General features: G+C 40.3%; 1 protein-coding gene across 27 annotated transcripts in view, besides 1 other annotated feature; it reads left to right on the top strand.

Annotated features, from left to right (window-relative positions):
• Window positions 1–26,121, top strand: part of SCAPER (S-phase cyclin A associated protein in the ER) — a 557,437-nt gene that overhangs the window by 329 nt on the left and 530,987 nt on the right. For 15 of the 27 annotated variants that reach the window (XR_007064448.1, XM_047432625.1, XM_047432621.1 and 12 more), the window contains exons 2-3: window positions 221–398; window positions 21,136–21,200. Coding sequence is in view for 19 of the 27 variants with exons in the window: in XM_047432625.1 (XP_047288581.1) it covers window positions 265–398; window positions 21,136–21,200 (199 nt within the window). In the remaining 8 variants the exon portion in view is untranslated. Of the gene's footprint in view, window positions 1–220; window positions 399–21,135; window positions 21,201–26,121 lie in introns of those variants that run through there. The other 12 variants (NR_148227.2, XM_017022273.2, XM_011521653.4 and 9 more) reach the window with 1 other exon arrangement.
• Window positions 17–96: a silencer, noted in NCBI's record as "silent region_6690". NCBI's record gives its function as "represses an Ori minimal core promoter by ATAC-STARR-seq in GM12878 lymphoblastoid cells {active_cell/tissue: GM12878}" and the evidence as "EXISTENCE:reporter gene assay evidence [ECO:0000049][PMID:35858748]".

The following is a 26,121-nucleotide window of genomic DNA, read 5'->3' as shown; positions in this document are numbered from 1 at the left end:
AGGGACGTGAGACCCCGCACACTACGCGGTCTGAGGGGTGAGTGGGGGGCTGCCGCGTCACCTCACTTGGGGGCAGCCCCGGCCGCGGGTGACGAGGCTTCTGGAATGTCTAAATGCGAGGGGCCCCTGGAGGAGCCTCCCTTCGTTTGACAGGTGATCGTCTTCGTCATCTGTCATTCCCAGCGGGGTTTACCATGCTTTCCCTGTACTCTGATCTTAGCTCTGCCCAGGAAACGGGGCAGGAATGGCCTCTCCGTCTTCCAGATGCGTGCGCTGAGGCCTGGAGGGGCGAAGAGCCTCTCGCACCTGGGAGTAGTGGGACCCAGCCTCCTGCCTCTGTTGCTGCTCTTTTCCAAAACAGCACTTCCTTGGCGCCTTTCCTCTACACCGTTTTCCAGGCGCGTTCGTGGGAACGGCACCAGGGAGGAACGGGATTGTTAGAAAGCAGGCACAAAACTGGTCCTGTAAGCAACACCTGCTGCTGTTAAGGGGGCCCCAGCTGAGATGAGGCCGCCTGTTTGTGAGCAGCTTCCTGTTGCTGGTGGACTGCATCTCTTATTCTAGTTGTGACAAGTTATTTTCCATGAAAATAGCTATTCATTAATAGTCATTTTACCGAACAGATACTAATTCCTTATATGAATTATAGTTTGTCTTAGTTTATGGATTAATTTCATCATTAACTTTTCATCTTCATAAATAATCTGGTAGAAGGATGGATGGGCTAGGAGTAATACTTATTTTATGAATGGAGAAACGGGGGCTCAAAAGGTTATTACTTGCCTTAGATCACCAGCTGGTGAGTGGTAAATCTGGGGTTAAGTTTTCTGACCTAAGGTTGGTAGTCTGACCACTGTCCCACTCTGGCCTATACTGGTGCTCTTTCCCTTCTGTTATTTCTGTTAACTATGACTTTTCCTCAAAGTTTGTTGGTTGCAGATGATTTATGCCACTTGAAGAATGATATCCACTAAAGAATTAATATTTTTAATCAATCAAAGAGTCAAGTTTTAATGTGATTTGGAAGGTTGTCTGTGGGAGAAGTAATCTGATGGCTTTGAAGGCAGACTGTTTTGAGTTTGAATCTCAGCCCCAACCCTTGTTTTTGGCAAATTAATTTTTCTGAGCCTTTCTTATCTGTAAAGTAGGAATAATATCCACCTCATAATTTTGTTGATAGTAATAAATTAGGTGTCTGTAAAGTATTGAGAACTGTTCCTAGCCCATGGTAAGCCCTCAACAAATGCTCTTTTCCTTCTTTCTCCACACTCCCTTGAGCTGCATTAAAAATATACTCTATGTGTCTTTGGTCCATTTGGGTCTGGTATAGCAAAATACCTCAGACTGAGTGGCTTATAAACAACAGAAATTCATTTCTTGCAGTTTTGGAGGCTGGGAAGTCCTAGATCAAGATGTCTGATGATTCAGTGTTTGGTGATAGCCTGCTTTCTGGTTAATAGATGGCACCCTCTAGCTGTCTCCTTACATGGTGCAAGGGTGAAGGGGTCTCTCTCTGGCCTCTTATAAGGGAATTTATCCCATTCATTAAGGTTCTGCTTTCATAATACAGTCATCTCCCAAAGGCCCCACCTCCTGATATGACCTTGGAAACTAGGATTTCCACAAGAATTTTGAAGAACACAAACATGCAGACCATAGCATTATGGTTAATCACTTGGTTGTTCAGGTCAAATAACCATGGAAGTGTAATCAGCAGTACTGTACAAATGTGTTTATAAATAAATTTTGGTGACTGGTCCAAAGGATATAGTATTCTAAACAGACTTTAAAAATGTTTGCCATTGGTGCTTCATAGGTATTTTAAGAACTCCTAAAAGATTGATATTAAGGTCATTAATGTCTTCATTTAGCTGCAGGAATGTTTTAAAGATAAGTAAGATGAAGGGACTTGAGATTCTGTCATTTCTTTCACTTTCTTTTTTTTTTTTTTGAAACCGAGTCTCACTCTGTCACCCAGGCTGGAGTGCAGTGGCGCAATCTTGGCTCACTGCAAACTCCACCTCCCAAGTTCAAGCGATTTTCCTGCCTCAGCTTCCTGAGTAGCTGGAACTACAGGCACTCACCACCATGCCTGGCTAATTTTTTTTTGTATTTTTAGTAGAGACCGGGTTTCACCATGTTGGCCATGCTGGTCTCAAACTCCTGACCTCAGATGATCCACCCACCTCGGCCTCCCAAAGTGCTGGGATTACAGGCGTGCGCCACTGCACCTGGCCTCTTTCACTTTCATACCTGACCACAGCCCAGACTAGTTTTAAAGGATAAACAACTTCTTTGGGAATCACATGTGAATGTTATTTAAACACTTAGAAAGTGGGGGTATTATTTAGGGGGAAGTTTAATAGAATTCTCTGTAAGGGTACAATCTGATATCCATTGTGGAATTGGCATTTCTGAAATTGTAGAAGAGAAAACTGTAAATGGCTGGCATAGCAAAAATTAAATCATTAATAAAATTCTGTTTGCAGTTTCTGCTGGATGGTAACCTTTTTTTAAAAAAAAATTCAACTTATATAGTAGAGGGTACATGTGTAGATTTGTTACATGGGTAAATTGATGCCGATGCTTGGGGTCCCAATTATCCCATCACACAGGCCATAAGCATAGTACACAACAGGTGGTCTTTCAGCCCATGCTCCCCTTGGCCTAGTGATCCCTAGTGCCTGTTGTTTGTGACTTTTACAATCACATATTCTGTGTTTAATTCCCACTTATAAGAGAGAACACACAGTATTTGGTTTTCTTTTCTCATGTTAAGTCACTTAGGACATTGGTCTCCAGCTCTATCCGTGTTGCTGCAGAGGGCATGATTTTGTTCTTTTTTATGGCTGCATAGTATTCCATGGTGCATTTGTAGCTAACCTTTTTCACAAACATGTTTGGCTTTCACTGATTGGCTATGGGTCTTGTGAAATATAAAGAGTGAAAAGATCTGGAGTCCAATGATGGAGCTAGTCTTAAAAATTATTAGAGGCTGGGTACGGTGGCTCATGCCTGTAATCCTAGCACTTTGGGAGGCTGAGGTGGGCAGATCACAAGGTCAGGAGATCGAGACCATCCTGGCTAACACGGTGAAACCCTGTGTCTACTAAAAATACAAAAAATTAGCTGGAGGTGGTGGCTCATGCTTGTAGTCCCAGCTACTCAGGAGGCTGAGGCAGGAGAATCGCTTGAATCCGGGAGGTGGAGGTTGCAGTGAGCTGAGATCGTGCCACTGCACTGCAGCCTGAACAACAGAGCGAGACTCCGTCTCAAAAAAAAAAAAAATTATTAGAAATTATTTATGGAAAGACTTTTTCTTCTATGACATGAAACACTAAAGATTTCATAAAGTTTTGCTAAAATGATAACTTCTTAAAGTAATACGTTCATTTTATGTTTTGAAACATACGCAAAAGAGAATAGTATGATGAACTGCTATGTATCAATCTATTTCAAAAATTAGCTATATATTATACATGAGCAATATTATTTCATAAAAGTTACCTCCTCACTAAATTGTTTTGAAGCAGGTTTCAGACATCATATTTAATTTGTCAAGATTTTAGTATGCATTAGGCCTGCTTTTAATACAGTATTGGAAAAGAGAGAGAGTTTCAGTATTTTCAATTGAGCATGCCACATTCATGAGATAAAATAAATAACTTGGTTGACATATTCATGGCAGTATATATAGAAGTAATCAGAATTGAAAATCTTATTAAACAATTTAGAATTATAAAATGTCTATATTGCTCTTCAAATTACTCTTTTTTTCTTTTGAGACGGCGTCTTGCTCTGTCCCCCAGGCTGGAGTGCAGTGGTGCGATCTCAGCTTACTGCAACCTCTGCCTCCTGGGTTCCAGCGATTCTCCTGCCTCAGCCTCCTGAGTAGCTGGGACTACAGGCGGGTGCCACCACACCTGGCTACAAACTACTCATTTTTACCATAATACACATATTTTTCAATTAGCAAAAATGTGAACAGTAGTTTTTGAGTATGCCTGTGACAACATTAAAGTATCAGACTCAGAAAGGCAAATACTCAGATTTTCTTAAATGTTGGAAAAGGCAAAAACATGGGTGACAGACTTTGTGAACCCTGGAGAGGAACTGTGATTGCAAACCTCAATTTTTCTACAATTTATTGACCAATATGTGGATAATTCATAGATGTACTATTCTGGCTTCAGTTAGATGGGCCCCTATATTTTGGAGTAGTGCTACCAGCAGGCTTCTCACTGCTTTGGGTCTGCCATTTACTCCTTGCTCTTTTACAACCTGTGTACCCAAACTTGGATAAAGAAAAGATATGCCTTTTCTGGCACTTGAGCCCATCTTTACATTTCCATCTCTAGGATTCTTAGGCATCTCCACAGATATTCCGGGATTGCAGGGCAGAATAAGACAAGTGAGACTTCAGTTCTGAACAAGGCAGGAACTTGTTCAGACACTTTGTGCTCAACCAGACCTAGTGTTCATTCCCTGTTTACCACCTTTATTCTTTGTTTTTTTGGGTGCTCCACTTTCTGCTTGGCCACTGTTTTTTTGCAGCCCTGAGTTTCTCAAATTTCATTTGAGTACCACTGTCAATATTTTGCCATATCCATATTTTTTTTTGTATGTATGTATGTATTTATTTATTTTTGTCTTTTTTTTTTTTTTTTTTAGTATTTATTGATCATTCTTGGGTGTTTCTCAGAGAGGGGGATGTGGCAGGGTCATAGGATAATAGTGGAGAGAAGGTCAGCAGATAAACACGAGAACAAAGGTCTCTGGTTTTCCTAGGCAGAGGTCCCTGCGGCCTTCGGCCCTGTTTGTGTCCCTGGGTACTTGAGATTAGGGAGTGGTGATGACTCTTAACGAGCATGCTGCCTTCAAGCATCTGTTTAACAAAGCACATCTTGCGCCGCCCTTAATCCATTTAACCCTGAGTTGACACAGCACATGTTTCAGAGAGCAGGGGGTTGGGGGTAAGGTTATAGATTAACAGCATCCCAAGGCAGAAGAATTTTTCTTAGTATAGAACAAAATGGAGTCTCCTATGTCTACTTCTTTCTACACAGACACAGTAACAATCTGATCTTTCTTTTCCCCACATTTCCCCCTTTTCTTTTCGACAAAACCGCCATCGTCATCATGGCCCGTTCTCGATAGTCGCTGTCTCTTCGGAGCTGTTGGGTACACTTCCCAGACGGGGCGGCCGGGCAGAGGTGCTCCTCACTTCCCAGACGGGGCGGCCGGGCAGAGGTGCTCCTCACATCCCAGACGATGGGCAGCCAGGCAGAGACGCTCCTCACTTCCTAGACGGGGTGGCGGCCGGGCAGAGGTGCTCCTCACTTTCCAGACGGGGCGGCCAGGCAGAGGGGCTCCTCACATCCCAGACGATGGGCTGCCAGGCAGAGACACTGCTCACTTCCTAGACGGGGTGGCGGGCGGGCAGAGGCTGTAATCTTAGCACTTTGGGAGGCCAAGGCAGGTGGCTGGGAGGTGGAGGTTGTAGTGAGCCGAGATCAGGCCACTGCACTCCAGCCTGGGCAACATTGAGCATTGAGTGAGCGAGACTCCGTCTGCAATCCCAGCACCTCGGGAGGCCGAGGCGGGCAGTTCATCCGAGGCCAGGAGCTGGAGACCAGCACGGTCAACATGGCGAAACCCATCTCCACCAAAAATACAAAAACCAGTCAGGAGTGGCGGCGCGTGCCTGGAACCCCAGGCACTCGGCAGGCCGAGGCAGGAGAATCACCGGAGCCTGAGGCAGGGAGGTTGCAGCTAGCTGAGATCATGGCAGTACAGTCCAGGCTCTGCAAGAGAGGGAGACCATAGAAAGAGGGAGACGGAGAGCGAGAGGGAGAGGGAGAGCATATCCATATTTCTTGTATATTGACTGATTTTATGTTTAAGATAGTGTTACAGATTTTTATTTGAGTAAATGTCATTTTATTGAAAGAAAATTACGTAAATTATTTTATAGGTGGTACTTAGTTATGGCAAATATCATGAAGGTAGTAACTGAATGATTGCAATTTTGGACATTTTGGATTAGGACATAGCTTGCTTTCTTTTTTAATTTGAAGCTTTATTGAGCTATACTTCACATACCATAAAATCCACCCATTTAAAATGTACACTTCAATGATTTTAATGTATTCACAGAGTTGTGGATCCATTACCACAATCAAGTTTAGAACATTTTCAGTATCCCAATATGAAACCCCATAAGCATTAGCAGCCGTTTTCCATTCTGGCCTCCCTCCCTACTTCCCCATCTTATCTCCAGCTACAGCCACCCTCTCATCTACTTTCTGTCTTTATGGATTTGCCTATTCAGGACATTTCACATAAATGGAATTATACAGTACGAAGCCTTTTGTGTCTGGCTTCTTCCATTTAACGTAATGTTTTCAAGATTCATCCATTTTGTAGCACATATCAGCCCTTCATTCCTTTTTATGGATGAATAATATTCCATCATATGGATATACCACATTTTATTTATTCATTTATCAGTTCATGAACATCTTGCACTGTTTCTACTTTTTGGCTATTGCTGCTGTGAATATTCCTCTAGAAGTTTTTGTGTGGACTTGTGTTTTCATTTCTCTTGAGTATAAACCTAGGAATAGAATTGCTGGGTTATATAGTGACTTATCTTTTACTTTTTGAGGAACTGCCAGATTGTTACCAAACCAGCTGTACCGGTTTACATTTCCACTGCAGTGTGTCAGGATTCCAGTTTCTCCACATCTTCTCCAACAGTTGTTTTGTCTTTTTGACGGTAGACATCTTGGTGGGTACGAAGTTATGTCTCATTGTGGCTTTGATATGTATTTCCCTAATGACTAGTGATTTCAACATGTTTTCATAGGCTTGTTAGCCATTCGTATACATTTTTTGGAGAAATGAGAACATAACCCCTTTAACCTGACATAGTGGTGCTATTTAACCTGACGTGGGTTCTTATTCTTCCTCTTGGTTGCTCTCTGTTGGCTTTTTATTCATATAATCAAGTGAATTGCTCCCCAGAAATCCTTTGTGGTAATCTGTGAAATATACATCTCCTACTTACGTTTATTATTACATTGTAGTACCTGTTTACCTAAGTGCACCTGGAAATATCTGGAATTTACCTAAAAAAAAAGGTCATGCATCTTAAGTACCACTGACTTTCAGTTCAGATGCAGAAACAATAATCTGTCAGGTGCCTAATTGAACAGGAGTGCACAAGATGCAGTGATGTAAGGATTTCAAGTTAATCAGTATCTGGTGGGACTTAAGAAATAATAATTCAGTCTTTTTCTTTTTTTTCGAGATAGAGTCTCTGTCACCCAGGCTGGAGTGCAGTGGCGTGATCTCGGCTCACTGCAACCTCTGCCTCCCGGGTTCAAGCAATTCTCATGCCTCAGTCTTCTGAGTACCTGGGACTTCAGGTGCATACCACCACACCCAGCTAAGTTTTTGTATTTTTGGTAGCGATGGGGTTTTGCCATGTTGTCCAGGCTGGTCTTGAACCCCTGAGCTCAGGCAATCTCTCCGCCTCAGCCTCCCAAAGTGCTAGGATTACAGGTGTGAGCCACTGTGCCTGGTCAATGTTGAAGTAACATTTCTTTTTTTTTTTCCTCTTTGGAGGAAAAGGCCTGTAATTAAGAATTTATGAACTCTGGACTGAAAAATTTTAAGTCAGAGCCTAGTGTAATCTGTAATTTGGAAATACTTTAAATCATTACAGGTTTTTGAAGTTGTAATTGCAGTGCAGTGCAATCATGTATCAGAAAATCTGAAAATAACAAAAAAATTCCCCATTATCCTGTGGTGCACAGCTACCAAGTATTGAGTGCTGGTTGTTTGCCATCAAACATTTTTTCACATTTACTTTCTTTGATTTTGAAAACAACCCTACAAAGTAGATATTTTTACTCTTGTTTTATAGCTGTGTACCCTGAGATTCAAAAATGTTAAAGAATTTATCTAAAGGCGAGTGTAGTTTGTAATTGGCAGACTTGGGATATGGATTTGTGTCTGACTTCAGAACTTACTCTTTTTAAAAAAAAAAATTAATATTTTTAGAGATGAGGTCTCACTCTGTCACCCAGGCTGGAGTGCAGTAGAATGATCATAGCTTACTGTAGCCTCTATCTCCTGGGCTCAAGTGAGCCTCCCTCCTTAGCCTCCCAAGGAGCTGGGACTACAGGTGCGTGCCACCACGCCTGGCTATTTTTTGTATTTTTGTTGGATTGCTGGTATTATTTTGTATTTTGGCATATTCTCCACATTGCCCAGGCTGGTCTCAAACTCTTGTTTGAGACTCAAGGCGGTCTGCCTGCCTTGGCCTCCCAAAGTGCTAGGATTATAGGGTTACAGGCATGAACCACTGTGCCAGGTCTAGGATTGTTTTTTCTCTTTCTGTGAGAAACATCATGGAGATTTTGATAGGGATTATGTTGAATTTGTAGATTGCTTTGGGTAGTATGGGTATTTTAACAATGTTAATTTTTTCCAGTTCATGAACATGGGATGTCTTTCTCTTTATTTGTGTTATTTTCAGTTTGTCATCAGTTTTATGGTTTTCAGTGTATAGGTCTTTCTTGGTTAGATTTATATTCCTAAGTATTTTATTACTATTATTTTTGTTGTTGTTTTTAAGACAGGATGTCATTCTGTCACCCAGTCTGGAGTGCAGTGGTGTGATCACAACTCACTGCAGCGTTGACCTCCCCAGGCTCCGGTGATCCTCCCACCTCAGCCTCCTGAGTATCTGGGACTACAGGTACACACCACCATGCCTGGCCAATTTTCATATTTTTGGTAGAGACAGGGTTTTGCCATGTTGCCCAGGCTGGTCTCGAACTCCTGGGCTGAAGTGATCGGCCTGCCTTGGCCTCCCAAAGTGCTGGGATTACAGGTGTGAGCCACTGTGGCCAGCCTTTTATTGTCTTTTATGCTATTGTAAATGGGATTTTTTTTTTTTTTTTGAGACAGAGTCTTGCTCTGTTGCCCAGGCTGGAGTGCAGTGGTGCAATCTCAGCTCACTGCAAGCTCTGCCTCCCGGGTTCACACCATTCTCCTGCCTCAGCTTCCCAAGTAGCTGGGACTACAGTCGCCTGCCACCATGCCCGGCAAATTTTTTGTATTTTTAGTAGAGATGGGGTTTCACTGTGTCAGCCAGGATGGTCTCGATCTCCTGACGTCATGATCTGCCCATCTTGGACTCCCAAAGTGCTGAGATTATAGGCGTGAGCTCCTGCACCTGGCCGGGATTGTTTTCTTGATTTCTTTTTTGGATGGTTCATTGTTAGTGTATAGAAAAGCTACTGATTTTTCTATTTTGTATTTTGATTTTGTATACTACAACTTTATTGAATTTATTAGTTCTAATAGTTTTTGGTGGAGCTTTTAGGATTTTCTGTATATAAGATCATGTAATCTGCAAACAGACAATTTCACTTCTTTTTTTCCTAACTTGAGTACTTTTATTTTTTTTCTTGACTTTTATTATTTTTTTTCTTAGTCAAGAAAAAAAAAAGAACTGGATGAGATGGCATTCTTGTCTTGTTGATCTTAGAGGAAAAGCTTTTAAATTTTCACTGTTGTGTATAATGTTAGCTGTGGGCTTGTCATCTATGATCTGTATTACGACATTACTTATGTACCTAATTTGTTGAAAGTTTTTATCTTGAAAGGGTGTTGAATTTTGTCAGATGCTTTTTCTGCATTTATTGAGATGATCATATGATTTTCATTCTTTGTTCTGTTAATGTGGTGTATCTCATGTGTTAATTTGCATATGTTGAACCATTCTTGCAACCCACAAATAATTCCTACCTGATCATAGTGTATGATGCTTTCAATAAGCTGTTGGATTTGGTTTGCCGGTATTTTATGGAGGATTTTTGAATCTATATTCATCAGGGATATGGGCCTGTAATTTTCTTTTCTTCTAGTGTTTATGTCTGGCTTTAGTATTAGGGTAATGTTGGCCTTGTGAAATGAGTTTGGAAATATTTTCTTCAGTTTTTGGGAAGAGTTTGAGAAGGATTGGTATTAATTCTTCGTTAAATGTTTGGTAGAATTCGCCAGTGAAGCCATGAGGTCCTAGGTTCTTCTCTTTTGTGAGTTTTTTATTAAAAAATCAGTCTTCTTACTTGTTATTGATCTGGTCAGATTTTTTATTTCTTCATGATTCAGTCTTGGTAGGTTGTATATTTCTAGGAGTTTACTTATTTTCTGTAAGTTATTCAATTTGTTGGCATGTAATTGTTCAAAGTAGTCTTTTGTGATCCCTTTATTTCTATAATATCAGTTGTAATGTTTCCTCTTACATTTGTAATTTTGTTTGAGTCTTCTTTTTCTTAGTCTAGCTAAAGGTTTTTCAGTTTCATTTATCTTTTTCAAAAACCAACTCTTAGTTTCATTGATCTTTTCTGTTTTTCTATTCTCTATTTCATTGATTTTTGCTCTGTTATTATTTCCTTCCTTATGCTGACTTTAGATTTAGTTTGTTCTTTTTTTAGTTCTTTGAGGTGTAAACTTAGGTTGTTTATCTGAGTTGTTTTGCCTTTCTCTTTTTTTCTTTTCATAGATGGGATCTTGCTATGTTGCCCAGGCTGGAACGTAGAGACTAGTCTCAGGCATGATCAGAGCACACTACAGCCTCGAACTCTTGGGCTCAAGCAATCCTCCCACCTAAGTCTCCTGACTAGCTGAGATTACAGGTGTTCACATCATGTGAGGCTGAGATCTGTCTGTGTCTTTTTTTTTTTGAGTTGAAATTTCACTCTGTTGCCCATGCTGGTGTGCAGTGGCACCATCTCAGCTCACTGCAACCTCCACCTCCCAGGGTCAAGCGATTCTCCTGCCTCAGCCTCCCAAGTAGCTGGGACTGCAGGCATGCGCCACTGCACCCAGCTAATTTTTTGTATTTTTAGTAGAGATGGGGTTTCACCATGTTGGCCAGGCTGGTCTTGAACTCCTGACCGCAGGTGATCCGCCCGCCTCGGCCTCCCAAAGGGCTGGGATTACAGGTGTGAGCCACTGCGCCTGGCCCTGTCTGTCTTTATGTAGGCTTTTGTCACTATAAACTTGCCTCTTAGAACTGCTTTTATTGTATTCCATAAGTTTTGCTATGTTGTGTTACCATTTTCACTTGTTTCAGGATACTTTTTGATTTCCCTTTTGATTTTTTTCTATGACCCATTGATTGTTTAGTTGTGTGTTGTTTAATTTCCACATATTTGTGAATTTTCCAGTTTTCTTCCTGTTATTTCTAGCTTTATACCATTGTGGTCAGAAAAGATACTTGATATCATTTAAATCTTCTTGGATTTGTTAAGACTTATTTTGTGGCCTAACATATGATCTATCCTAGAGAATATTGTGTGTGCTTGAAAATGTTGTATATTCTGCTGCTGTTGGATGGAATGTTCTGCATATGTCTGTTAGGTCCATTTGGCCTATAGAACTGTTCAAGTTCACTGTTTCCTTGTTGATTTTTTTTTTTGTCTGGATGATCTATCCCTTGTTGAAAGTGGGGTATTGAAGTCCCCTGCTATTAATGTATTGCTGTCTCTTTTTCCTTTCAGTGGTGTTAAAATTTTGGTGCTCCAATGTTGGGTGCGTACATATCTACAACGGTTATATCCTTTTGATGAATTACCCCTTTATCATTATGTAATGACTTTTTTTTATTATTATACTTTAAGTTCTAGGGTACATGTGCACAAAGTGCAGATTTGTTACACAGGTATACATGTGCCATGTTGGTTTGCTGCACCCATCAACTTGTCATTTACGTTAGGTATTTCTCCTAATGCTATCCCTCCCTCAGCCCCCCACCCAGTGACAGGCTCCGGTGTGTGATGTTCCCTGCCCTGTGTCCAAGTGTTCTCATTGTTCAATTACCATCCCAAGGATGAGTGAGAACATGCGATGTTTGGTTTTCTGTCCTTGTGATAGTTTGCTGAGAATAATGGTTTCCAGCTTTATCCATGTACCTGCAAAGGACATGAACTCATCCTTTTTTATGGCTGCATGGTATTCCATGGTGTATATGTGCCACATTTTCTTAATCCAGTCTATCGTTGATGGACATTTGGGTTGGTTCCAAGTCTTTGCTATTGTGAACAGTGCTGCAGTAAACATACGTGTGCATGTGTCTTTATAGTAGCATGATTTATAATCCTTTGGGTATATACCCTGTAATGGGATTGCTGGGTCAAATGGTATTTCTAGTTCTAGATCCTTGAGGAATCGCCACACTGTTTTCCACAATGGTTGAACTAATTGACACTCCCACCAACAGTGTAAAAGCATTCCTATTTCTCCACATCCTCTCCAGCATCTGTTGTTTCCTGAATTTTTAATGATGGCCATTCTAACTGGTGTGAGATGGTATCTCATCGTGGTTTTGATTTGCGTTTCTCTGATGGCCAGTGATGGTGAGCATTTCTTCATGTGTCTGTTGGCTGTATAAATGTCTTCTTTAGAGAAGTGTCTGTTCATATCCTTCGCCCACTTTTTGCTGGGGTTGTTTTTTTTCTTGTAAATTTGTTTAAGTTCTTTGTAGATTCTGGATATTAGCCCTTAGTCAGATGGGTAGATTGCAAAAATTTTCTCCCATTCTGTAGGTTGCCTGTTCACTCTGATGGTAGTTTCTTTTGCCATGCAGGAGCTCTTTAGTTTAATTAGATCCCATTTGTCTGTTTTGGCTTTTGTTGCCATTGCTTTTGGTGTTTTAGTCATGAAGTCTTTGCCCATGCCTATGTCCTGAAGGTATTGCCTAGGTTTTCTTCTAGAGTTTTTATGGTTTTAGGTCTTACATTTAAGGCTTTAATCCATCTTGAATTAATTTTTGTATAAAGTGTAAGGAAGGGGTCCACTTTCAGCTTTCTGCATGTGGCTAGCCAGTTTTCCCTGCACTATTAAATAGGGAATCCTTTCCCCATTTCTTGTTTTTGTCAGGTTTGTCAAAGATCAGATGGTTGTAGATGTGTGGTGTTATTTCTGAGGCCTCTGTTCTGTTCCATTGGTCTATGTATCTGTTTTGGTACCAGTACCGTGCTGTTTTGGTTACTGTAGCCTTGTAGTATAGTTTGAAGTCAGGTAGTATGAAGTCTCCAGCTTCGTTATTTTTGCTTAGGATTGTCTTGGCAATTCAGGCTCTTTTTTGGTTCCATATGAACCAAATTGGAAAAAATTCTGTGAAGAATTTCCAATTCTGTGAAGAAAGTCATTGGTAGCTTGATGGGGATGGCATTGAGTCTATAAATTACCTTGGACAGTATGGCCATTTTCATGAAATTGATTCTTCCTATCCATGAGCATGGAATATTCTTCCATTTGTTTGTGTCCTCTTTTATTTTGTTGCGTAGTGGTTTGTAGTTCTCCTTGAAGAGGTTCTTCAAAATCCCTTGTAAGTTGGATTCCTAGATATTTTATTCTGTTTGTAGCAATTGTTAATGGGAGTTCACTCATGATTGGGCTCTCTGTCTGTTATTGGTGTATTGCTTGTGCAATTTTTGCATATTGATTTTATATCCTGAGACGTTACTGAAGTTGCTTATCAGCTTGAGGAGATTTTGGGCTTGGATGATGGGGTTTTCTAAATATATAATCATGTTATCTGCCAGCAGGGACAATTTGACTTCCTCTCTTCCTAATTGAATACCCTTTATTTCTTTCTCTTGCCTAATTGCTCTGGCCAGAATTTCCAACACTGTGTTGAATAGGAGTGGTGAGAGAGGGCATCCTTGTCTTGTGCCAGTTTTCAAAGGGAGTGCTTCCAGTTTTTGCCCATTCGGTATGATCTTGGCTATGGGTTTGTCATAAATAGCTGTTATTATTTTGAGATATGTTCCATCAATACCTAGTTTATTGATAGTTTTTAGCATGAAGAGATGTTGAATTTTGTCAAAGGCCTTTTCTGCATCTATTGAGATAATCATGTGGTTTTTGTCATTGGTTCTGTTTATTTGATGGATTACGTTTATTGATTTGCATATGTTGAACCAGCCTTGCATCCCAGGGATGAAGCCGACTTGATTGTGAGTAGATAAGCTTTTTGATGTGCTGCTGGATTCAGTTTGCCAGTATTCTATTGAGGATTTTTGCATCAATGTTCATCAGGGATATTGGTCTAAAATTCTCTTTTTTTGTTGTGTCTCTGCCAGGCTTTGGTATCAGGATGATGCTGGCCTCATAAAATGAGTTAGGGAGGATTCCCTCTTCTTCTATTGATCGGAATAGTTTCAGAAGGAATGGTACCAACTCCTCTTTGTACCTCTGGTAGAATTTGGCTGTGAATCTATCTGGTCCTGGACTTTTTTTGGTTGGTAGGCTCTTAATTATTGCCTCGATTTCAGAGCCCGTTATTGGTCTATTCAGAGATTCAGCTTCTTCCTGGTTTAGTCTTGGGAAGGTGTATGTGTCCAGGAATTTATCCATTTCTTCTAGTTTTTCTAATTTATTTGTGTAGAGGTGTTTATAGTATTCTCTGATGGTAGTTTGTATTTCTGTGGGATCTGTGGTGATATCCCCTTTGTCATTTTTTATTGCATCTATTTCATTCTTCGGTCTTTTCTTCTTTATTAGTCTTCCTAGCAGTCTATCAATTTTGTTGATCTTTTCAAAAAAACAGCTCCTGGATTCATTTATTTTTTGAAGGGTTTTTTGTGTCTCTATTTCCTTCAGTTCTGCTCTGATCTTAGTTATTTCTTGCCTTCTGCTAGCTTTTGAATTTATTTGCTCTTGCTTCTCTAGTTCTTTTAATTGTGTTGTTAGGGTGCAGATTTTAGATCTTTCCTGCTTTCTCTTGTGGGCATTTAGTGCTATAAATTTCCCTCTACCCACTGTGTTAAATGTGTCCTAGAGATTCTGGTACATTGTGTCTTTGTTCTCATTGATTTCAAAGAACATCTTTATTTCTGCCTTCATTTCATTATTTACCCAGTAGTCATTCAGGAGCAGGTTGTTCAGTTTCCATGTAGTTGTGCAGTTTTGAGTGAGTTTCTTAATCCTGAGTTGTAATTTGATTGCCCTGTGGTCTGAGAGACTGTTGTGATTTCTTTTCTTTTACATTTGCTGAGGAGTGCTTTACTTCCAATTATGTGGTCAATTTTAGAATAAGTGCAACGTGGTGCTGAGAAGAATGAATATTCTGTTGAATTGGGGTGGAGAGTTCTGTAGATGTCTATTAGGTCCGCTTGGTGCAAAGGTGAGTTCAAGTCCTGGATATCCTTGTTAACCTTCTGTCTCATTAATCTGTCTAATACTGAGAGTAGGGTGTTAAAGTCTCCCATTATTATTGTGTGGGAGTCTAAGTCTCTTTGTAGGTCTCTAAGGACTTGCTTTATGAATCTGGGTGTCCATGTATTGGGTGCGTATATATTTAGGATAGTTGTTCTTTTTGTTGAATTGATCCCTTTACCATTATGTAATGGCCTTCTTTGTCTTTTTTGATCTGTGTTGGTTTGAAGTCTGTTTTATCAGAGATTAGAATTGCGACCCCTGCTTTTTTTTGCTCTCCATTTGCTTGGTAGATCTTCCTCCATACTTTAGTTTGAGCCTATGTGTGTCTCTGCACATGAGATGGGTCTCCTGAATACAGCACACTGATGGGTCTTGACTCTGTCCAATTTGCCAGTCTGTGTCTTTTAATTGGGGCATTTAGCCCATTTACATTTAAGGTTAATATTGTTATGTGTGAATTTGATCCTGTCATTATGTTAGCTGGTTATTTTGCCCATTAATTGATGCAGTTCCTTCATAGCATCGATGGTCTTTACCATTTGGCATGTTTTTGCAGTGTCTGGTACCGGTTGTTCTTTTCCATGTTTAGTGCTTCCTTCAGGAGCTCTTATAAGGCAGGCCTGGTGGTAACAAAATCACTCAGCATTTGCTTGTCTGTAAAGGATTTTATTTCTCCTTCACTTCTGAAGCTTAGTTTGGCTGGATATGAAATTCTGGGTTGAAAATTCTTTTCTTTAAGAATGTTGAATATTGGCCCCTACTCTCTTCTGCCTTGTAGGGTTACTGCTAGGAGATCTGCTGTTGGTCTGATGGGCTTCCCTTTGTGAATAACCTGACCTTTCTCTCTGGCTGCCCTTAACATTTTTTCCTTTATTTCAACCTTGGTGAATCTGACAATTATGTATCTTGGGGTTCCTCTTCTCGAGGAGTATGTTTGTGGTGTTCTCTGTATTTCCTGAATTTGAATGTTGGCCTGCCTTGCTAGGTTGGGGAAGTTCTCCTGGATAATACCCTGAAGAGTGTTTTCCAACTTGGTTCCATTCACTCCATCAGTTTCAGGTACACCAGTCAGACGTAGATTTGGTCTTTTCACATAGTGCATATTTCTTGAAGGCTTTGTTCATTTCTTTTTACTCTTTTTTTTGTCTAATCTTGTCTTCTTACTTCATTTCATTAATTTGATCTTCAATCACTGATATCCTTTCTTCCACTTGATTGAATCGGCTGCTGAGGCTTATGCATGCGTCACGAAGTTCTCTTGCCATGGTTTTCAGTTCCATCAGGTCATTTAAGGTCTTCTCTCCACTGTTCATTCTAGTTAGCCATTCGTCTAACCTTTTTTCAAGGTTTTTGAGCTTCCTTGCAATGGGTTAGAACATGTTCCTTTAGTTTGGAGAAGTTTGTTATTACCGACCTTCCGAAGCCTACTTCTGTCAACTCATCATTCTCCATCCAGCTTTGTTCTGTTGCTGGTGAGGAGCTGCGATCCTTTGAAGGAGAAGAAGCACTCTGGTTTTTAGAATTTTCAGCTTTTCTGCTCTGGTTTCTCCCCATCTTTGTGGTTTTATCTACCTTTGGTCTTTGATGTTGGTGACCTACAGATGAGGTTTTGGTGTGGATGTCCTTTTGGTTGATGTTGATGCTATTCCTTTCTGTTTGTTAGTTTTCCTTCTAACAGTCAGGTCCCTCAGCTGCAGGTCTGTTGGAGTTTGCTGGAGGTCCACTCCAGACACTGTTTGCCTGGGTATCACCAGCAGAGGCTGCAGAACAGCAAATATTGCAGAACAGCAAATATTGCTGCCTGACCCTCCTCTGGAAGCTTTGTTCCAGAGGGACCCTTGCCTGTATGAGGTGTCTGTTGGCCCCTCCTGGGAGGTGTCTCCCAGTTAGGCTACACGGGGGTCAGGGACCCATGTGAGGAGGCAGTCTGTCTGTCCTCAGAGGTCAAACGCCATGCTGGGAGAAGCACTGCTCTCTTCAGAGCCATCAGACAGGGACGTTTAAGTCTGCACAAGTTGTCTGCTGCTTTTTGTTCAGCTATGCCCTGCCCACAGAGGTGGAGTCTATAGAGGCAAGTAGGCCTTGCTGAGCTGTTGGGGGGCTCTGCCTAGTTCGAGCCTCCTGGCTGCTTTGTTTACCTACTCATGCCTCAGCAATTGTGGACGCTCCTCCCTGACTGGGCTGCAGCCTTGCAGGTTGATCTTAGACTGCTACACTAGCAGTGACAAGGCTCCGTGGGTGTGGGACCCACCGAGCCAGGCATGGGAGAGGATCTCCTAGTCTGTGGGTTACTAAGACTGTGGGAAAAGCGCGGTATTTGGGCGAGAGTGTACCGATTTTCCAGGTACAGTCTGCCACGGCTTCCCTTGGCTAGGAATGAGAAATCCCCAACCCCTTGTGCTTCCCTGGTGAGGCGATGCCCCGGCCTGCTTTGGCTCACCCTCTGTGGGTTGTACCCACTGTCCAACCAGTCCCAATGAGATTAAGCAGGTACATCAGTTGGAAACGCAGAAATCACCTGTCTTCTGTGTCACTTATGCTGGAAGCTGCAGACTGGAGGTGTTCCTGTTTGGCCATCTTGGAACGGACTCAGACTTTCTTTTTTTGAAACTTTTATTTTAAGTTCAGGGGTACAAGTGCAGGTTTGTTATGTTGGTAAACTTGTGTCATGGGACTTTGTTGTACAGATTATTTCATTACCTAAGTATTCAACCTAGTACCCATCAATTATTTTTCCTCACCCCCTCCCTCCTCCCACACTCCATTCTCCAAAAGGCCCCAGTGTGTGTTGTTCCCCTCTATGTGTCCATGTGTTCTCATCATTTAGCTCTCACATATAAGTGAGAACATGCGGTGTTTGGTTTTCTGTTCCTGCATTAGTTTGCTAAGGATGATGGCCTCTAGCTACATTCATGTCCCTGCAAAGGACATGATCTCATTCTTTTTAATGACTGCATAGTATTCCCTGGTGTATATGTACCACACTTTCTTTATCCAGTCAATCATTGAGGGCATTTAGGTTGATTCCATGTCTTTGCTATTGTGAATTGTGCTGCAATGCGCATACAGGTGTATGTGTCTTTATAATAGAATGATTTATGTTCCCTTGGGTATATACCCAGTAATGGGATTGAATTATATTTGTGTCTTTAGGTCTTTGAGGAATCACCACACTATCTTCCACAATGGCTGAACTTCATTTACACTCCCACCAACAGTGTATAAGTGTTCCTTTTTCTCCAGAACCTTGCCAGCATATGTTTTTTTAAATTTTTATTTATTTGTTTTTGAGAGAGAGTCTCACTCTGTTGCCCAGGCTGGAGTGCAGTGGCACAACCTTGGCTCACTGCAACCTCTGCCTCCTGGTTTCAAGTGATTCTCCTGCCTCAGCCTCCCAAGTAGCTGGGATTACAGGCGCGCACCACCACACCCAGCTAATTTTTGTATTTTTAGTAGAGGCAGGGTTTTGCCATGTTGCCCAGGCTGGTCTTGAACTTTTGACCTCAGGTGATCTGCCCACCTCGGCCTCCCAGTGTGGTGGGATTACAGGCGTGAGCCACTGTGCCCGGTTGTGAGTTTTATTTTTATACATTTTCACATTGTTAGCATCCTTTTAAAAAATTTATATAAATTTATGGGGTTCATGTACAATTTTGTGGGAATGTGAATTATTATACCCTTTATGGAAAACAGTATGGGGATGTCTTAAAAAGCTAAAAAGTAGAATTACCATTTGATCCAACAATCCCACTACTGGGTATCTACCCAATGGAAATCAATATACCAAAATGATACCTGCACTTATATGTTTATTGCAGCATATTCACAGTAGTAAAGATATGAAATCAGCCTGTGTCTATCAACAGATGAATGTTTAGTCTTCTTTTGTTTCAACTTGAAGAACTTCTTTTAGCCTTTTTGTAAGGTGGGATGAACTCCCATAGCTTTTCTTTGTTTGGTAGGGTTATGATTTTAAATAGGGCCAGGTGTGCATGGTGGCACATGCCTTTAACCCCAGCACTTTGGGAGGCTGAGGTGGGTGGATTGCTTGAGCCCAATAGTTCGAGACCAGCCTGGGCAATGTGGTGAAACTCCGTCTCTGCCAAAAAATACAAAAGTTACCCAGACATGATGGTGTGCACCTGTAGTCCCAGCTACTCAGGAGGCTGAGGTGGGAAGATGGCTTGAGTCAGGGAGGCAGAGGTTGCAGTGAACCAAGATTGCACCATTGCACTCCAGTCTGGGCGACAGAGCCAGACCCTGTCTCAAAATGAGTGAATGAATGAATGAATGTTATATGGGAAGGCCTCATTGAGAGTGACATTTGTGCAAAGTGAATTGGGAGTGTTCCACATGGGAGGTCCAACAGGTATAAAGCCCTAATGCTAGAATATGTCTGGCATGCTGGGAAGCATAAGGAGGCCAGTGTGATTGGAGTACAGTGAATGCTGGGGAGAAGGGGTGTATGGAATTGGAAAATTTTGGACATGATAACCTACTGTGAGGACTTTGGCTTTTCCTCCGAGTGAGATGGAGAGAGGTTGGAGGTTTGTGAGCAGAGGTAGTACATTTAAAAAAATATAATAGCTTTACTGATAAATGATTCATTTACAATATAATTTCCCCATTTAAAAATGGTTTTTAGTATATTCACAGAGTTTTGCAGCCATCACCATAATTAATTTTAGAACATTTTCATCACCCCCTAAAGAAACCGTGTGCTTATTAGCAGTTACTCTCATTTTCTCCTAACCCCGCAGCCTTCAGCAACCTCTGTTTTCTGACACTATGGATTTGACTGTTCTGGACATTTCACGTATGTGGAATCATACAATATGTGTTCTTTTATAACTGGCTTCTTTCACTTAGCATGATGTTTTTAAATTTCATCCATATTGTAGCATATATTAGCACTTTCTTCCTTTTTTTTGGTCTATCCATTTTTATGTCCTTTTATTCATTGTGTGAATATACATTTTATTTATCCATTCATCAGTTGATAGGTATTTGGGTTGTTTCTACTTTTTAGCTGTTATGAATAATGCTGCTGTGAACATTTGCATATAAATTTTTATCCGGACATATGTTTACTGGTACTGCATTTTAAAGGAGCATATTTATTGACAAAGGATAAATGATCTAGATTTTCTTCCAGAAGGAGGTTTGGTTCCATTTGCTGCTTTCTTTTCTTTGTTCACTGACTCTTCATACAGAGTTAGGTCATTTTTGTTGTTGTTGTTGTTGTTTGTTAAGCAATTTCCCAGTCCCTGTGTTCTGTCTAGTTTCCCTGACTTGGATTTCTTTGAGTAAAAGTGTGGCCACATTAAATAGGTTACCTGAAAGGTACGGGCTGTTGTACTTACAGCCTTATGTAATTGTTAATTAAGATATTCTGATAAAATCTTAGTTTATGAACATTCTTAAGGAAAGTTACACAGGATTTTCTATACTGAGTTCAGACTCATTAGTGAGTCAGTTCAGTGAAAGCAGCATTTAAAAACTGAAATAGAATACAGAAGGAAATATTAGAGTACATCTGTTACTTTACAAAATTTTTAATTCAGTTAAACGTGTATGAACTGGGTAAGATATAAAACATGTATGTGTTTATGGGTTGTAGTAAGAAAGTTTGGAACCCCTCTGGGTTAGGATGTCCATGTAATTAATACTGTTTCTTTTCCATTTTATTTTTATTTTTTGGAGAGCACTGAGGTCTTGTTCAGCATGGAATATTTAAAGCATGCTATATTATACCCCAACAGGTAATATAAAGGAGCAGTTTTTTTTGTTGTTGTTTAATGTAAGTGTGGGGATGAGATTTGTATCTTTTTATGAATAATTATGGTTTTCTGGTAATGTTATAACTAAGCGTATATATATTTTTTATTGTAGGAGTCATACTCCATGGGTTTATGTGATAAATGATCTTGGCATAGAAGAGAATTTAAAGAATGATGGTAAGTGATATCTTAAAGACTAGCCTTAGTTTTTTTGCCTTTCTCTTTTCTTCCTTTCTTTTATCTTTTTTAATGTAATAGTTGTTTCATTCAAGATACCCTATGGAACACATTGTCATAAAGCACAGTGATAAAGTGAGCAGCTATGAATGTACTATTCAACCTTAGAGCCCAGGAACCCTGCTGCTCCTCAGGCTTGCCTCTAACACTTATGGTACCTAGGTTAGGAATACAAGTGGAAGCCAGCTTTTAAAATTTCTTAATATTAAATAGTTACAAATCAATGGATGCTAACAGCCTGACCTGGCCTCCTACCCAGGGTCTAGCCAAGTCTTAAAGGAACCTACTCTCCCTGGGCTAGGTAGGGTAGAAGTTGGGCTAGAGTAGGTCTTGAATCTGGTATGGGGACCGATGTGAAATTCCCCAGAGAGCCAGGGAAAACAGGTTTCTGTCTCCCACACTTTACTTTTCTAACTCAAGATTTTTCAGGCAATTCCAAACATCTTCTTAAACTACTCAAATTGAGGAGGAGAAAGGAATGGAGGTATACATGGAGTCCAGTCTGCCTCGATAATTCCTTTGGGATAGTTGGGGTGACCAACCTTAATCAAAAGCACATATTCTTGCTCTGTTTTTTCCAGCACTGATGCTGATTTGCCTTCTTCCTTCTCTCTTATTGTCTGGCCTGGGGGGACCCTAAGTTTAGTTTGTGAGTCCCTCTCTCTTAATTTGTGTTTACTCAATTAGTTACTGATTCCTTTTGGATTTTGGTATTTTTGATAGGTACAACCTTCTGAAGTGTGGCGCTCAGGGCAGAGCCCCTTCTTCTGGTTGAAAGAGCAGGAGAGGGCCGGGCACGGTGGCTCACGCCTGTAATCCCAGCACTTTGGGAGGCCTAGACGGGCGGATCACAAGGTCAGGAGACCGAGACCATCCTGGCTAACACGGTGAAACCCCGTCTCTGCTAAAAATACAAAAAATTAGCCTGGCGTGGTGGTGGGCGCCTGTAGTCCCAGCTACTCAGGAGGCTGAGGCAGGAGAATGGCATGAACCCGGGAGGCGGAGCTTTCAGTGAGCCAAGATCGTGCCACTGCACTCCAACCTGGGCTATAGAGCGAGACTCCGTCTCAAATAAAAGAAAAAAAGAAAGAGCAGGAGAGCATCTATTTGTTGTATGCTCTTATTTCATCCCTCCCACTTCATACTCTTCCTCAGTTCTAAGGTTTTGATTTTTCATATCTGTCATTTGGGGTTATTTTCTGTTGGTCTGCTTTTGGGTCTTTTGGTCATAAACTATGCTTTTGTTTGCCAGAAGATTTCTTTTTTTTTAATCTGCCCTAATTTTGAAAAATGGTCTTAGAGGGGATAGAAGTCTAGGTTGACAGATTTTTTTTCTCTTAATATCTTTTTTTTTTTCTTCTGGAGACAGAGTCTCTCTGTCACCCAGTCTGGAGTGCAGCGGCACAATCATAGCTCACTGCAGTTTTTATCACCTGGGCTCAAGCAGTCCTCCCACCTCAGCCTCCTAAGTAGCTTGGAACTATAGGTGCATGCCAGTTTTTTATTTTTAATTTTTTTGTAGCGATAGGGTCTTGCTTTGTTGCCCAGGTGATCTTGAACTCCTGACCTCAAGTGATCCTCCTGCTTTGGCCTTCTTCCACAGGGCTGGGATTACAGGCATGAGCTACTATGCCTGGTCTTTCTTAGTATCTTGACAAAAGAGATTCCACTGTCCTCAGCTTCTTTTTGATTTTTAGGGAATTCTTTTTCCTTTGATTTAATTTTAATTTAATAGCATATGCAGCATTTACATGGTTCAAAATTCAAACTATAAAACAGTGTTCATTTAGAGAAATTCAGCTTTCTTCTCTCTTCTTCCTCTTCTTCCCTTGTGGGTAACATTAATTTTTTTAAATTGTGCTAATACAAATAACATGACATTTACCATCTGAACCATTTTTAAGTATACAGTTCAGTGGTATTAAGTACATTCATATTGTTGTGCAGCTATCACTATTATTCATCTTCAGAACTCCTTGTCTTGAAATATTGAAACTCTATACATTAAACAATAATTTCCCATTTCCCTTCACCCCCTGCTCCTGTACCACTTGCTGTCTCTGTGATTTTGACTACTTTATGTACCACATATAAGTGAAATCATCCAGTATTTGTCTTTTTGTGTTTGGCTTATTTCATTTAGCATAATGTCTTCAAGGTTCATCCATGTTGTAGCATATGTCAGATTTCCCTCCTCTTTAAGACTGAATAATATTCTGTTATAAATAAATAATAATAATATATTACGTTTTGCTTATCCATTCATCAGACACTTGGGCTGTTTCCCCTTTTTAGCTATTGTGAATGTTGATGCTATGAACATGGGTGTACAGATATCTCTTCAAGACTGTTTTCAGGCCAGACGCAATGGCTTACGCCTGTAATCCTAGCACTTTGGAAGGCCGAGCCAGTTGGCTCACTTGAGGTCAGGAGTTTGAGACCAGCTTGGCCAACATGGCGAAACCCTGGCTCTACTAAAAATACAAAAAATTAGCTGGCATGGTGATATGCACCTTTAGTCCCAGCTACATGAGAGGCTGAGGCATGAGAATCGCTTGAACCCAGGAGGCGGAGGTTGCAGTGAGCCATGATCATATCACTACACTCTAGCCTTTGTGTCAGAGCAAGACTCTGTCTCCAAAAAGTAAATAAATAAATAAAATAGTAAAGAACTGTTTTCAGTTATTTCGGGTACGTAACCAAAAGTGGAACTTGTAGATAATATGGTAAATCTATTTTTAATGTTTGGAGGAACTGTCATAGTGTTTTCCGCAGTGGCTGCAACATTTAAAATTCCCACCAACAGTGCACAAGGGTTCCAGTTTTTCCACATCCTCACCAACATTTTTTATTTTCTGTTTTTTTGATGGTAGCCATTTTAATGGGTGCATGGGTAATCGTTTTTCTTAATGTTTGATTTATCTTTTATATTTTCAAAATGAATGTATACATTTATATGTATATACATGTGTTTTTCTTTTTTGAACCTAAAGGTAATATATTTTAGTATCTTGGGAGTTTTTTTTTTTTCTTTTCACTTAGCAATATATCCTAGAGTGTTAGAGATCTTCGTTTCTTTTTATAGCTGCATACTATTTCCTATTGATCTCTGTTTTAAAACTCTAGCAGGTAAGATATAGTAAAGTTTTTCTTATCTGCCAATTGTGACTCTAAGGAATATGTCCAAAAACCTGAAAGTAAATGAAAAATGCTTATGATCATACACAACAGATAGTCCACACACTGTAAGTATATTCACTGTACTTGCAGAATTCTTGAGTTCCTTATTCAGAACTGTAATAGTACATTTCCCATAAGCCTACCAAATAAGAATTGACAGCTAATAGCTTGTTAGGGAAGAGGAGAAAATAATTAAGAATTAAGCTTTTGTGTTCTTCTTAATCATCAGGAAGTAAAGAACTAAAAAATCTTTAACAACACTTTTGTCTGTGCCCATTTATTTTAGGACAACTGTCTTTTGTATTTCTATAACTCCTGAGGCATAATTAAATTATAGTATCATATAGAAGTTGGTGTTCATAGTGGTAACCTGAAGTTATCAAGAAAAGAGTAAGTTTCTTTAGTAGCCTCTGTCGCAGAGGTCAAGGAAATGTGTTCAGAGATTTTCATACAAAATAATAAAACCAAAAAGAATTTGTGCTTAGCGGGGCAAACCTAAGTTATCAATTTATGTAGAACACCTCATTTCCCAATAATGTTCATTTATTGATGCTTTTTAAAAATCATTCTGCCAGTTATTCATTTATTCATACATATTTATGTGCCAGACACCATCCTACACAGTGAGAATAGTGAACAAAACCTAGTCCTTCAGAAACTTACTGTCTAATGGAAGACAGAGTAAACACATTAAGTGTATGATTTAAAATATAATTGTGGTTAAGTGTTACAAAGGAGTACAAGTTGGTTTGAGTATATAAAAGGAATCCTGGCCAAGTCTCGGGGTTGAAGAAAACTTAGCCTTAGGACGTTACATTTAAGTTGGGATTCGAAAGATCATTAGGCTTTGGCTGGGCTAAGAGGAATACTCTCTTAGAATGCTTTCAGTAGCAAGTAGAGTTGGCTTCAGATAAGAATTGATCCAGTGGCTCAACAGTGTCATCAAAAATTTGATTGCTTTTCCTCCACTTACTCTGGCTTCTGTTCTGTTGCCATTATTTTAAGGCTTGCTGTCTTTATGATCCCTAGATGCTTAGCAGTAGTTTCCAAAGCTGTATATTCCCTAACATATGGCCAGTAGGAGAGTCTTTTCTCTAACATTCCAGTAAAAGATCTGAGATCCTAAGTTTTGATCACCTTAGGTCACATGCTCACCTCTGGATCAGTTGTTGTGGCTAGGCGAGCAGATTGACTTAGGCAAGGTCATGTGCTGCACCCTGGAGTTAGGGACAAAAGGTGCTTACCTAGAACCACAAGGGACCCCAACAAAAATTGAACTATTAGGAAAGGAGGATGTAGAGAATGAATGCTAGGGAAGAAGCCAATAAATGTGCATTATAGAGGGGCAGGCTATTCCATACAGAAGGAAGAATTCTGTGTAAATGTCCTGAATTAGGATGGAGCTTGGTGCTTATGGGGAACTGCATGAAAGTCTGATTTTGGAGCATGGCAAAGAAGGAAAAGAATAGTACAAGTTGAGACTGGAGGCCAGGTCATGTATTTGTAGATAATACCAGATTTCCAAAGTGGGGCTACCAGTTTCATTTCCTGTCGGTAGTGTATGGGAGGAGTTGCCCCAGATCCTCACCAGTACACAGTATAATCATTTATTTATTAAAAAAATTTTTTTGGTAAATTTTGATGACTGATTCTTAGTACTTCTTTGTTTGATTATTGGCCA

Source organism: Homo sapiens, chromosome 15 (assembly GCF_000001405.40).
Source record: "Homo sapiens chromosome 15, GRCh38.p14 Primary Assembly".
Classification (NCBI taxonomy): domain Eukaryota; kingdom Metazoa; phylum Chordata; class Mammalia; order Primates; family Hominidae; genus Homo; species Homo sapiens.
Note: the sequence above shows the minus strand (reverse complement) of the source record. Positions and strands in the feature narration are given on the sequence as shown.